This window comes from Homo sapiens, chromosome 21, assembly GCF_000001405.40.
Source record: "Homo sapiens chromosome 21, GRCh38.p14 Primary Assembly".
Lineage (NCBI taxonomy): Eukaryota > Metazoa > Chordata > Mammalia > Primates > Hominidae > Homo > Homo sapiens.
Window position 1 is genome coordinate 37,760,648 of NC_000021.9, and position 14,624 is coordinate 37,775,271.

At 43.3% G+C, this 14,624-nt stretch overlaps 1 protein-coding gene across 1 annotated transcript in view; it reads right to left on the bottom strand.

Annotated features, from left to right (window-relative positions):
- KCNJ6 (potassium inwardly rectifying channel subfamily J member 6) overlaps positions 1 to 14,624 on the bottom strand; it is a 309,085-nt gene that overhangs the window by 153,275 nt on the left and 141,186 nt on the right. The gene's annotated exons all lie outside the window — the stretch shown is intronic.

The following is a 14,624-nucleotide window of genomic DNA, read 5'->3' on the forward strand; positions in this document are numbered from 1 at the left end:
TGGAACTTCAGGCGAGTGTCTCATGCTTAAGAACCTGCCTTTTTCCTTTTATCCCTATGTTTTGGGATGCAAGAAAATGCCTCTCAGATGTGGTGTGGTCTCCTGGCACCTCACCTAGGATGGGAGGCCTGGGATAGAGAAAGGCTCAGGTTCCTCCTGTCTCACCTGGGCTGGGAATGAAGGACTGTTCTCCCTTCTCTTCAACATACATTCTGGAGGCGGGGTGGGGAACTGTCTTAGGCCTGGGTCAAGAGGGGAGGGCCAGACGGTCTTGGGCTGAGTGTGCTGAGCTCAGAGAGGCACATGTGGATGAGACAAAGCCAGGCAGGTCAGGGAAGAGCCAGAAGAAAGATGCACTTTGTGGGTCCTAGGCATCTGGGTTCCAGGCTAGGGAAACTGGGCAGGGAAGCCTTGCCAGGGGACGCCCCTTAGAGTAAGGGCCAATGGTGGTGTTGCGTGTGTGTGTGCTATGTGCTGTATGTGGTGTACGTGTGGTATGTGTGGTGTGTGTGCTGTATGTGTGTTGTGTGTGCATGTGTGTGCGATGTGTGTGTATGTATTGTGTGTGTGTGTGCATGTCTGTGTGTGTGGTGTGTGCCATATGTGGTATATGTGTGTTGTGTGTGGTAGTGTAATGTGTGTAGAGTGGTGTCTGTGTATGTGCTGTGTGTCTTGTGTGTATTAGTGTGTGTATATTTGTGTGTTGTATGTAGTGTGTGTGTATATTTGTGTGTGTTGTATGTAGTGTGTGTGTATATTTGTGTATGTGGTGTGTGTGTTGTGTTGTGTGTGTATATTTGTGTGTGTTGTGTGTATGTAGTTTGTGTGTATATTTGCGTGTGTGTTGTGTGTATGTAGTGCATGTGTATATTTGTGTGTGTGGTGTGTGTCGTGTGTGTGGTATGTGTGTATGTGTTGTGTGTATGTAGTGTGTGTGTATATTTGTGTGTGTTGTGTGTATGTAGTATTTGTGTATGTGTTGTGTGTTGTGTTGTGTGTGTATATTTGTGTGTTGTATGTAGTTTGTGTGTATATTTGCGTGTGTGTTGTATGTAGTGCATGTGTATATTTGTGTGTGTGGTGTGTGTCGTGTGTGTGGTATGTGTGTATGTGTTGTGTGTATGTAGTGTGTGTGTGGTATGTGTGCATATGTTGTGTATAGTGTTGTGTGTCGTGTGGTGTCTCTGTGCGTGTCTGTGTGCGGTGCATGTTCATGCACTCACTTTTGCACCTGCAACCCATGCTCACTGTGCTACACTTTCCACACCTTTTGCCCCAGACCCTGATAAGGTCCAGGGAGGAGGGTGGTGAGGAATGCCTGCAACGATTTAATTAGGAATAAAGAGGAGTTGCTGATCTGGTTTAGGGCGGGCCAGGAGTCTTTTAGCTCCAGAAGGACAGGGGTGTCTGTCAGCTGTTTGCTGCTCATAAATTCCCCAGTGTGTGTGCAGGATTGCACCTATCCTCTGAGCTACCTGATGCTGGGGTCTTGACCAGATAAGAACACCAAATATCCTCTTCCTTTCTCATTAGTAGACAGGCCAGGCCCATCTGAACCCACTCCTCTGGCTCCCTGAGGAGTGTTTGGGTGTCCCCGCACTTAGCATCCAGCACAGATGGCTCCTTCCAAAGCCACACTCCAGTGGCTTCTTTGGGGTGGATGTAGACGCTCAGCCCATGGAGAGCAGCTCATCTAAGTTACAGCCCTTTAGAGTAAGGGATGTGGATGAACAGGTGAGAGGCTTCCTGCTCGTCATTAGAAATTTTTAAAAACCACGTGGTCCACAGGTCTTGAGGCCAAGGCTGATGGGCTGGCTGGGCAGGAGCCACAGGAAGAAATCCACAGGTGCTGGCCATGTGGAACTGCCTGCCAAGTTTGCTGGAAGCAGAGCCCGTTTCTTTTTTCGGCAGCCTGAATAAGAGGCAATGGGGACCCTGTTGAGGTCAACTCTTGTATGTTACCAACGCCCACAGCTGTGTGCCTCCTCTGAGGACATTCGAGTGGGCTCACCACGATGACATGGGCCTTCTGCTGGGGAGGCTGGGCCATTCGGTGACCTGTGGCGCTGCGCTGTGTGATGATTGCTGATCAGCTGTGGCTCCCAGGCCAGCTTACACATGACGATCCCCTGGGGAGGTTTTAAAGATTCCAGTGCCTGAGCCCCACTCCAAGCCAATGAAATCCCAGCCTCTGGAAGTAGGGCCTGGCATGGGCCTGTCTGCAACACGCCCCAGCTGTTCCTAATGGGCAGCCCGGGGGTAAGAATCAGCGACTGAGAATAACGATGTTCCAATCTTGATTCAGCCGGGGAAATCTTTCTTCACACAGATGCTACTGGAGTGAACACAAGCAGATGAAAACAGGGCTGTCTAAATGACACGCAGCCACCAGTGACTGCCCGGGCTCCCGAGAAATCCAGATTCATCAGGACCCACTGATTTGGGCATCTGATGATGGCATGTGAGGAGGAATTTTCCAAAGTTTCTGGGAGAGTACAAGGCAAGTCACCACCCGCTCCCAGCTGTGTGCCTTTCCTGGGGCCAGACCCTGCAGCAGCTCCCACCTTGTCCCACGCTGGATGGCAGCCTGCTTGTAGGGGGGGCCTGCAGACACCTTCTCACCCCACCCAGGACTTGAAGGCAAGGGTGGAATTTTTGGTGGATGCGATGATCTGTCTTCTCGTGGTAAGGAGGTGATTCCCTGAACAGCTGGGACAACACCATCACCTCGTCTTCCTTTCTCCTCTCTTACTTCCTGCTCCTGATCCTAGAGGAGCCACAGAGCTCGGCCCTTCCCCACCCCCGCCTTGATGTGGCTTGGGCAAGCTAAGGGCAGGTGGCTCTGTGTGTCATGAAGTCCTGTAGGGCCTGCTCCTGAGACTTTCCTGCCCACTGAGTGGGATTACTGAGTGACAGCTGGCCCTCTCAGTGACTGTGTGCCTCACCCTGTGCTTCTGGTATCTGGACAATGCCCTTCCCAAACAGGAAGTGTTTGAGCCATGTGTTCTAGATACATGGCTGTTTTTCTCTTGTTTAAAAACCTTTGTGTGTGATGTTCCCCACCCTGTGTGCAAGTGTTCTCATTGTTCAATTCCCACCTATGAGTGAGAACATGCTGTGTTTGGTTTTCTGTCCTTGCGATAGTTTGCTCAGAATGTGGGGGGAGGGGGAAGGGATAGCATTAGGAGATAAACCTAATGTAAATGACAAGTTAATGGGTGCAGCACACCAACATGGAACATGTATGTTCATATGTAACAAACCTGCATGTTGTGCACATGTACCCTAGAACTTAAAGTATAATAAAATAAAACAAAAACCTTTGTTTTACCCCTGACTCATCTCACATATCTACATACTCAAAGGCCATGTTTGTCTAGGAGTAGAACCAAGTCCCTGATTTGACAAAGTGAATTATTATAACACATTTGTGTTTAACATGCAGGTGAGTCATAGATGAAATACCACCTATGGAAACTGACAGTCGCTGCTATGCCTTTCTTGGACTATGGTGAGTGAGATTGAGGGTCTGGTAATGCAAGAGGTACCTAGTCATGGAAATGAATGGAGAAGCAGCTGGTTTGAAGGGACTTTCTCCTTCCAAAGTAATAAGCTGAGAAAACGGAAAGGTGTGAGCCATCAGCAGAGTATTTAGGAAGCATGACAGATGGAGGGGACAAAGTAAGAGAGAGACTTCAGCTTGGGATGATTGGAAGAAAAATTTGAAGATATTTACTTTTTTTTTTTTTTTAAGACAGTTTTGCTCTGCTGCCCAGGCTGGAGTGCAGTGGCACAATCTTAGCTCACTGCAACCTCTGCCTCTTGGGTTCAAGCGATTCTCCTGTCTCAGCCTCCTGAGGAGCTGAGATTACAGGCGTGCGCCACCATGCCTAGCTAATTTTTGTATTTTTAGTAGAGCCAGGGTTTTGCCATGTTGGCCAGGCTGGTCTTGAACTCCTGACCTCAGGTGATCCACCCACCTCAGCCTCCCAAGTGCCGGGATTACAGGTGTAAGCCACCGAGCTTGGCCAGAAATTTACTTTTTGATGGTGCTTTCCAAAATGAGTTTCCAGGCAGTCTGCAGTCAGTTGTATTTTTAAGGTTGAATGGGTGTTTGGTCATCCCGTGATCTTACAGTGCTTTGAAAGTGCTTTCAGAAACTGCTGCAACTGAGGGGAGAATTGAGGGTGGTTGATGGGGGAGATGCAAGTCAGGCAAACCAGCCAGAAGCCTTGCTCTAAGATGCAGGCCAAGAGGCACCGCAAATATTTCACTTCCAAGCCAAACCTTCCTTCTCAGGGGGTGAAGCAGTGTTGTGCTGGAATCAGCTGTACTGGCCTATGAGAGCCAATTGTTAAATTTTCAGGAATTTTATAAGCTGGTTGTTAAATAAGGCTATTTTCAAAATTAAATTATATAAACTTAATACTTAATTATATTAAAAGCAAAGGAAATTAATACTCAAAGCTTATAATCTTTCTACTTATTTTGTCATATTTTACTGTGTCAATGTTCTTGGGGTTGTTTCCGTCTGTTGTGTCTGCATGGTGGAAACACTTCATATGACATGCCACTGCACATCTCTTTTAAATTTTGTGTTCATGACATCGCTTTGATAGCTGGAAATTGGCCATGGTGGGATATGGATACCAGGGAGACTGTAAAACAAAACCAGTTTGGCTTGTTTTATTGTTCTGTCGATGATCAAGATCAGTGGTTCTGAACTGGGAGGATTTTTCCTCCAGGGACATTTGGCAGTATCTGGAGGCGCCTTTGACAGTCACAGATGGAGAGGGTAGGGGTGCTCCTGGCATCTAGAGGGTGGAGGCCAGGGAGGCTGTTAAACATCCTACAATGCATATGGCAGCCCCCTTTGCCTCCCAGCCCCAGACACGGAATTCTCTGGTCCAAAATGTCAATATTGCTGAAGTTGAGAAATCCTGGTCGAGATTTAAGGAAGTGATGGGAAATTAACTTAAAATAACTTAAGACTGTGTCAAGTTCATACCTGTTACATTGTGCATACTACAAAAAAACCCCTGAAGCCTTCTTTCAGTGTTTGAAAGCTATTATATGATTCATTAAAGAAGTTGTTCAAGTCAATGAATGAGTCAAGTTCTAACACACTTCTTCATCTTCTTTGTTTCACTAAATGAAGATGTCAATCACTACTTGCATGGCAACTATCCTCATTTAATTGTAGAATCAACAAAAGCATTCTGTAAGAATCAATTGGCTATGTAAAATTTATAATAAAATTATTATGCATATTTTGCATTGCATATATACAAATATGCATATTATGTATTTTGCATATTTGTAAGTTGAGTGCTGTACATCCTTCTTATCAGTAAAATGTGTGTGTGCATAATTTTTCCTGAAGAGCCTGTTGATAAACATTTACCAGCACGCCACTAGTTAGAAGCTACAGAGTTATCAGATTTTAAATGTAACACCCTCATTCTGCATCCCACACAACATGTTCATGAATTTTGTATCTGGAGAAAGCTCAGTACTGTATGGTTCGGGAAACTGTTTTTTGGGAAGAACTGGGGTAACTAAGAATGGCGGCTCTGTATGTGGGTGGAGTAGGATGCCTGTCCTGTCATGTGATTTGGGCATGCCGAAAGGCTGCCACTCCCTAAATATCCACTCCAGAGTCCTGTCTCCAGGGTTTGACATGAACCCCTTTGGAGACAGGTGGGTTGTCACTAGGCTAAAAAGGAATGGGTGCAGGGACAGAAGGGATGGGGGTGGGTAACACGGTAACTGCCTAGAGTTTTGGCAGGATTTTGATCATGCATTTAATCTGTTAGATCCCATTGTAGCCCATCTACAGCTGAAGTCAGAAAAAAATAACCAACGGGCCTGGTAAATTTGGATAGCAGGAATGAAATGGAAATCCCCCGAGGGTTCTAAGTCAGTATGGGACACTCTGATGGGACCCCGGGCAGTGGAAGCACATGGTGGTGATTGGCTAAGGGTTCCAAAGGAAGGGAATGGATGGACTTTACTGGCTTTGCAGTTGCACCAAAGGAAACGATCACTGAATCTAGACCAGGGGTCCCCAAACCGTGGGCCATGAACCAGTGCTGGTCTGTGGCCTGTTAGGAACTGGGCCACACAGCAGGAGGTGAGTGGTGGATGAACGAGCATTACTCCCTGAGCTCCACCTCCTGTCAGATCAGTGGAGGCATTAGATTCTTACAGAAGCACGAACCCTACTGTGAACTGCACCTGCGAGAGATCTAGGTTTTGAGCTCCTTATGAAAATCAAATGCCTGATGATCTGAGAAACAGTTTCATTCCCAAACCACCCTCTTCTACCCCCACATCCCCTGATCTGTGGAAAAATTGTCTTCCACAAAACTGGTCCCTTGTGCCAAAACGCTTGGGGACTGCTGATCTAGACTAATGAGATGCAACTCTTAAGAAGCCCACTTGGATATTCCAAGGGTCTCCCCATCCTCAACACACCGCATTAGTGTTGGGCACACTGTACATGGGATTGGAATTGTTCTGTGTCCCATTATCTGACAGCTTCAAGGATTGGCGAGCACACATCTTTGTCTAGGTGAGAAAGATGGGAGACAGAGGGCGTCCAGCTGCCTCGTCCTCACCTCAGGGAAATCTTAAGCATGTCGTCATTTGTGTTCACAGTTTGGCGTTCGAATCTATGATTAAGAACTTAGGATGGGTAGAAGGGTCAAAAGGACAGTAGAATTGTGGTACGTAGGATCTGCAAGGGACCTTAGAACACTCTAGTTCAAATCTCATCCTTCACAGAGCAGGAAGCAACCGGAGCAGTTAAGTGACCTCTTCCAGGGAACCAGGGAAGAGGCTGGGCCACACTTGGGAGTTGCCACTGCCAACCCTGAACTCTCACCACTCCCCAGCCCCAGTGAGAGTGACAGGGAGAGGCAGGAAAGTGAGAAACCCAGCAGTCCAAAATGTCAATACTGCGGAAGCTGAGAAATTCTGATCTAGATCTAAGAAAGTGATGGGGAATTAATTTAAAATGATTTAAGACTGTGTCATGTCCATACTGGTTATATTGTGAATACTACAAAATACTGAAGAAATATTCTTTCAGTATTTGAAACTACTATGGGCAAAAGGTTTGTTTTTTTCTCTCCCTCCAATAGTCCTAAAATTGTATTTTGAGAAATCGTGAGAGGGGAATTTAAATTTAATTTTCATGTTTCCACTAAAAAAGTGTATTGATTAGATTTTAGCTTTAACTGTTGTTTGTATTTTATACACCTAAGCTTGGAAAATGATCTGTACTTAGAGGAAGACACAGAGTCTAGAGGTCTGGGAAATCATATGTGAGAACAAAAACTCTTTTTAGACATGTGGGCTTTCATGCAAATTATATTTCCAAAGGACTTGGGTAAAATTTTTAAATTAAAATACTGTAGGTGGCTGTGTATGGACTTTTTTTTTTTTTTTTCGAGCATCTGTGTGAGTCATCTTGAGCTGTCTGACTTTTTCTTCTCAGCCATATGTCAGCCTGTTTGTCCTTCCCAAGCTGCCGGGTTAACAGAGTTGATTCCCTGAGGCCACTCCATACGGGTCACTGTGACATGTCAGTCAGGCCATCTCCTGTGTGATATGGTGGTCAGAGACCTCTGGGGCATTCGTGGGACCCTTGGAGGGAAGGTGCTGTTCTATTTCAGCTTCTGAATTTTCACATTAATGATAACATAAGAGAATGACATCCAAGCTCCTTCCGGAGTTGCTGCACTCACATCTCTAAAATTTCTGGCAGTTCCTCCTTACCAAATTATCCAACTAAAGGAAAAAGTAGGGAAGAAGAAAAAGGAAAAAAACTGAGCAACCAAAATACAACTGTTGAATTTACAAGATGGAGGATGACACTGGATGTTCATAGTGCATAGATTCATGAACCCTCTCAGTTTTCCCTGCTGCTTTGTAAAAGGTGGGAACAGATCTTTACCATGTACAAGAGGTACTGTGTTATGAGTTATCACACCTGATTTACTTAAAACATATACACTCTTAGATGTAGCTATCATTATCTCCAATAAGCACAAGAGGCAACAGGCTTATAAGGAAACTGTCCCCATGCTCCTAATATGAAGTTGGCCTGGAATTTACATACAGCATTTTTCTCTATGCTTTTCTGTTCAACTGTCTCTTGGTGCAAGATGAAATAACACAAGTAAATGGCAAAACGTAATTGAATGGGAAGGGGCACTTATTTTTTGAGTTAGTGTAGAAATGTGTGTTGGGGAGCCCACCTACCTGAAGGGAATTTATAGCTCAGATGGAAGTTTACCTGCATGCAGGTGTGTTTAGGAGAAAGTACCAACTTTGATGAATCAGCCTGAGGAAGTCCAACCTAGGATGTGATTGTAAACATTGCACGCATGGTAACTGATTGAACCAGTTGAATTTTGGATAGAGACATTGTTCAGCTCTTCAGATGCTGCGCACGGGGTGATGTGGAGTATAGTTAGGACACTAGGCTGTGGTTAAGCTGCATTGATATACTGTGTCAGTGTGGGCAGGCAATTTCCCCTAAGAGCTTACGTGATGTTCCAGATGAAAACTGAACTCTCTTCTCCGCCTGAAAATGTAAGGTCACATGGAAAAGGTGGCTAATGTGTGTATGCCAGCCTCTGAACATGGTGTATATTGTGTTCAGATACCCCCCACCCCTTTTAGTTTTATACAACTTCAGACTTTCTTAGTTGTGAAAGACTTAAGTAAGACCTGATCTGGTCCTGTAGCCTTCAATTTTATTATTATTATTATTATTATTATTATTATTACTATATTTTTTTAGTAGCAGAACACTTTATTTTCAAACTCAACATAGGCAATATATAAAAGCTAAGCCACTCTGGATGCAACGGCTGCTAGGACCCACACCCTAATATCTTATCTCCTTTCCCCACTGAGACGCCTCCGAGAAATCCTAGAGTTCTAGAGAACAGAGCTGGAAAAATGCTGCAAGTTACGGAATTGATTGGGAAGTAATGGGATCCTGACATTTGGAATGGGGGCTGCTATGGTTTGAATATGTCCTCTCAAAAACTTAGGTGTTGAAACTTAATGGCCAATGGGATGGTATTCAAAGGTGGGGCCTTTAAGAGGTGATTAGGTCCTGAGGGTTCCTCCCCTCATGAATTAAGGGATTAAGGTGCTTGCTAAAGAGGCTTCATGCAGCGTTAAGCCCTTTTGTTCTTGCCCTTACTCCTGCCATGTGAGGACAGTGTTCCTCCCCTCCAGAGAAAGCATCTTGGAAGTGGAGAGCCATCCTCATCAGATAATTGAACCTACTGGTGCCTTGATCTTACACTTCTCAGTCTCCAGAACTGTGAGAACATACATTTCTATTCTTTATAAATTGCCCAGTTTCAGGCATTCCATTATAGCAGCACAGGTGGATAAAAACAGAGACATTTCGGCAGATCCTTATGAAACTAGGGTTACCAGCCCCTGTATTCTACCCAGTTGTCTTGGCCAGTAGGAGCTGCACTTTCACCCTATCTGAGGAAGTTTTCTCTGTTTTGGCTCAGGAATCTGTAAGGGCCTCTCTTGGGACAGCTGTCTTGTAAGACACTGCTGATTCTCCTCAAGACTTTCGCGGGCCATTTCTATACTCAAGTCACAGCGGGCTCCAAAGGGTGAGGGGCAGAGTGTGACCTGTGAGGAGGTGCTCTACACTCTAAAAGAACTGCATGATTTTTTTTTTTCAATTTATAGAGAAGGAATTGATTCTCATGCCTGTGAATCAACAGGCAAAGAAGGGGATTAATATACCACTTGAGGTGATTGATCCTTATCAACAACAGGAAATTGGATTGCTACTACATAATTGATGTAATGAAGAGTGTGTCTGGAATACAGGAGATCCTTTAGGGCATCTCTTAGTACTATCAAGCCAGTGCTGAATGTCACAATGGAAAATTATAAAGCTGTCCTCTGCAGGACTGATAATGGCCCCGGCCTTTCAAGAATGAGGTTTGGGTCCCTCCACTAAACAAAGAACCATGACTAGCTGAGGAGTTTGCTCACGGCAAAGGTAATAGAAAATGAGTCATGGAAGAAGGTAGTTACATCAGCTATGATCATAAACCAGTTGCAGAAATGAAGATTGTAATAGTTATATTTTTTCCTATTTTGAGGGGATATATTTGTATATATATGTTTTCCCCCTTCTTTTATCTCCTATCTAATTATCATCTATTAATGCATCTGTTATCACCTATTAGTATATCTATTAATAAGATATATTAATAATGGTTAACTTTATATCTCAGCATTTAAAGTGTAGAATGTCAAAGGATAAGCAGAACATCAACTAAGGACTTTGCGTCGTTTTCTAGGAAAAGAGTTGGTGTGCTTTTGCCTGTACACAGGATATTTGGTCACATAAGGAGGAATTATGACATGGCTATTGTCTTTATTTGGCGAGTAAGTGTGTTTTAAGGAGATAGTGTGGTTGCTCAGTTGATAGGCGTGGTCTTTGTTGGTCTTTTAGGTATCAACATGGCTTAGCAGTAGTCCCCAGTTATTCACTCACCCAAATACAAATATAGATGCTGCTGTGAAGGTATTTTGCAGATATGATTAAAGCCCATAATCAGTTGACTTTGAGTGTGAGAGATTATCCTAGATAATCTAGATGGACCTGAATCCTTAAAAGCAGGGTTGAGTCTTCTCTGAGATAAGAAGAGATTCTGCCTGTGGACCGAAGCTTCAGCTTGTGCCCAAGAGTTTTGGTCTGTTCTTCCAGATGGCTTATCCTACGCATTTCAGACTTGACTAGCCAGCTGCCACAATTACACAAACCTATTCTCTGCAATAAATCTCTTACTATATTTCTCCTACTGGTCCTACTTCTCTGGTAAACGTTGACTGATACACTTGAGCTGACTTTCTAGTGGGTGTGTGGGTGAGGTATCTGCTCATTAGTCTATGGTCCACCAGAGCCCCTGTAGGTGGTCCCAGAAGTGAGGCTACAAGCACTGCTAGATCCAAGGAGATGCGCCAGATAGCTCCTTCTGATTTATAGAAAATGATGTTTTAATGACCACCTAATTTCTAGTGAATGATTTTTGGTTGAGGCTGATGTAGTTTTATATGTATTACTTGGAACTTCCCAAAGTATGCTTTTTTCGGGGGGAAAATAAGGGCAGGAATTTCTCTGGGCAAATAAGTCTGAGATGTGGTGTTGAAGATAATTCTTTATTTTAGGATTTTTCATGGCCTCTACAATGCTACTGGGCATGAGAGGTCCAAAAAACGAACAGAATATGCAGTTTATACCCATCTTGTCTGAATATGGAACGATGTTTTCCCCTTCTGGGGACTGCAACATGAAAATTGCATGAAATACATTTTTGGAACACTTATCCACACATCTATGGCCCATAAATAAAATTATCTCATCTGCATCTTATTAGCTTGCCTTTTACTTCACCCATAGTGACTCATAATTAGACAATGGTCCTACTTATTAAAATGTTTCATAGTAAAAACAAAGAACCAAAAATTAAAGAGTGCCCCAAAATTATATTTGAAAAAAGGATATTCATGTCCTAATCTCAAAAGGTTACCCAATGGAAACAGAGCACGCCGAGACAATTTATTATTGGTTGCACATATTATTATGTTTATACCAGTTGGTGAAGTGAAAATCTTCTAGTTTGCTTATTTAGGGTTCATTGATAGAAACACACACACACACACACATGCATGCATATTTAACAGTAGAAATTTAACCATTTGCAGATTACAGCAGATGGAAATTACCTGTTTTTCATTCAGGCACTTAATAGTTATTTTAGAATCGTCATACTTTTAAATTCTACTCTATAATTTTTCCAACAGTGAAAAAAGAAACTAAAGCAATGCTGTAACATTAAATATTTTAAATGGGTTTAATTTTAAAAGACAAAATTATAAAGCTCAAGAGACTTGGGTAGAATGTCTTATGATTATGTTGGCACCTTAGTATTTTCTGATATTTATCTGTATAGCCTATATTTCTCTTGCTATTTACTCTCTTTCAACCAAAAATTTGAGGTAGTTCATTTGGCTTTCTTACCGTGTTTACTTTTATATTACTTCTAAACATTTTTATTCTTCACTAAATATGATAAAGTACATGTAAAACCTAAATATGTAATTTACAAGTTTCAGTAGTATGAAGAGACTTGCCATGATTTCTTTATGCTGTATTAAATGTACTATATATATGTTATACTATAGCATTAACTCAACAAGGATACTGTGAAATGACTGAATCCTTTCAGGAAGCCTGATGAGTTCATTTGAAAGGTCTTTTTCATATGGAATACATCAGGGAATTAATTAGTGGGGAGATCTATCTTTTTCTACTTCTCTAACACGATAGCCATTCTCGGGCAGTTCCAGGGCCTTCAGGGTGTCTGTATCACTGGGGTGTTGTTATACTGTGGCCTGTATACAGTAGGTGCTAAATAACTGTTTGTGGATGATGATCCTTTTCCACTGTTTTCTTGAACTCATGTTGCCTACCTAGATAGGTTGCCCACATGGGATGGCTGTGAAAGGCTGGGAGGTAGCTCTGAGGCTTCACGGCATAGCAGGAGGCTCTCTGGACATTTCTGTAGCATGCTGGGTTCCAGCCTCAGCCCCGTCAACTGGCTACATGTCTTGGGCAAGTCACTCCACTTCCTTGTCTTCATTTTCAAGGGCAGGAACCATGTCCTATTTATCTTTATCTCACCAGTACCAAGATAGTTCCTGGTAAGGGAAACAGCTGCTATTCTCTCCTTCTTATGAGTAGGGAGCAGAGGGAAGGTGTGAAGTCGCTAACTACGGATCTCCCTTCATCCCTCCCCTTCACCTCCCCCTTTCCTCCCCAGACAACACATAATTGCGCATCCATGTTAAAGTGGGTCTTTTGGAGAGGGGGATGGAATTGTCGACTTCTGTTTGTAATTGCTTTCTTAACATGGAAACTGAAATTTGACATGTTGCACGTTAAATTCATCATCTCTATTTTTCTCTAACTGCCCCAATGTGGGCACCAAATGGACCCTCTGCACCACACCTGCACCAGGGCTGACAGTACTAAGAAATATCATTCTCTTATAGTCCTAGGATTACTGTTATTCCATCCCTCCTGAGTTCTCCAATCTTGTCATGAATTTTTGAAGATCCGTTTTCTAGCTCCAGTTTGAAGCATCCATCCCCTCCAGGTGCACGGCCAGTCCCCTGGGCCATGTCCTGCTCCATTCATACCTGGGCTCTGTACTTCTCATGACCCCGTATTTCCTCTGGGTCACCCTCATGTGATGATTTCCAAAACACTGTTTTTATCACATCATTCCCTCAAGAACTTAAAACTGCTCTCTACATCACACTGAATCTTACCTCCCTGGCCTGACCCTGAAGATGGATTCTGTGTCCTTATCCTACCTTTTCCTTCATTCTTCTTGTCTTATCCTTACTGATAGCATAACAGGTAAGAGTGAGGGTTCTGGAGTCAGGTTCTGCCCCTTGCTAACTGCTCGACCTCAGGTAAGTTTCTTAATCTCTCTGGGCCTCAGTTTCCTCAGCTGTAAAATAACAATAAAGCATTTACTTGACACAATTGTTTGAGTGCTGAATAATTGTTTGGGGTAAGAATTTTAGAAGATAATAGCAGCTTGTCCCTATGCAGGGTTTACCTTAGGGCTATTCTTTTTTTTTTATTATACTTTAAGTTTTAGGGTACATGTGCACAATGTGCGGGTTTGTTACATATGTATACGTGTGCCATGTTGGTGCGCTGCACCCATTAACTCGACATTTAACATTAGGTATATCTCCTAATGCTATCCCTCCCCCCCTCCCCCTACCCCACAACAGGCTCTGGTGTGTGATGTTCCCCTTCCTGTGTCCATGTGTTCTCATTGTTCAATTCCCACCTATGAGTGAGAACATGCAATGTTTGCTTTTTGTCCTTGCCATAGTTTGCTGAGAATGATGGTTTCCAGCTTCATCCATGTCCCTACAAAGGACATGAACTCATCATGTGTTATGGCTGCATAGTATTCCATGGTGTATATGTGCCACATTTTCTTAATCCAGTCTATCATTGATGGACATTTGGGTTGGTTCCAAGTCTTTGCTATTGTGAATAGCGCCGCAGTAAACATACATGTGCATGTGTCTTTATAGCAGCATGATTTATAATCCTTTGGGTATATACCCAGTAATGGGACGGCTGGGTCAAATGGTATTTCTAGTTATAGATCCCTGAGGAATTGCCACGCTGACTTCCACAATGGTTGAACTAGTTTACAGTCCCACCAACAGTGTAAAAGTGTTCCTATTTCTCCATATCCTCTCCAGCACCTGTTGTTTCCTGACTTTTTAATGATCACCATTCTAACTGGTGTGAGATGGTATCTCATTATGGTTTTGATTTGCATTTCTCTGGTGGCCAGGGAAGATGAGCATTTTTTCATGTGTCTTTTGGCTGCATAAATGTCTTCTTTTGAGAAGTATCTGTTCATATCCTTTGCCCACTTGTTGATGGGGTTGTTTGTTTTTTTCTTGTAAATTTGTTTGAGTTCTTTGTAGATTCTGGATATTAGCCCTTTGTCAGGTGAGTAGAT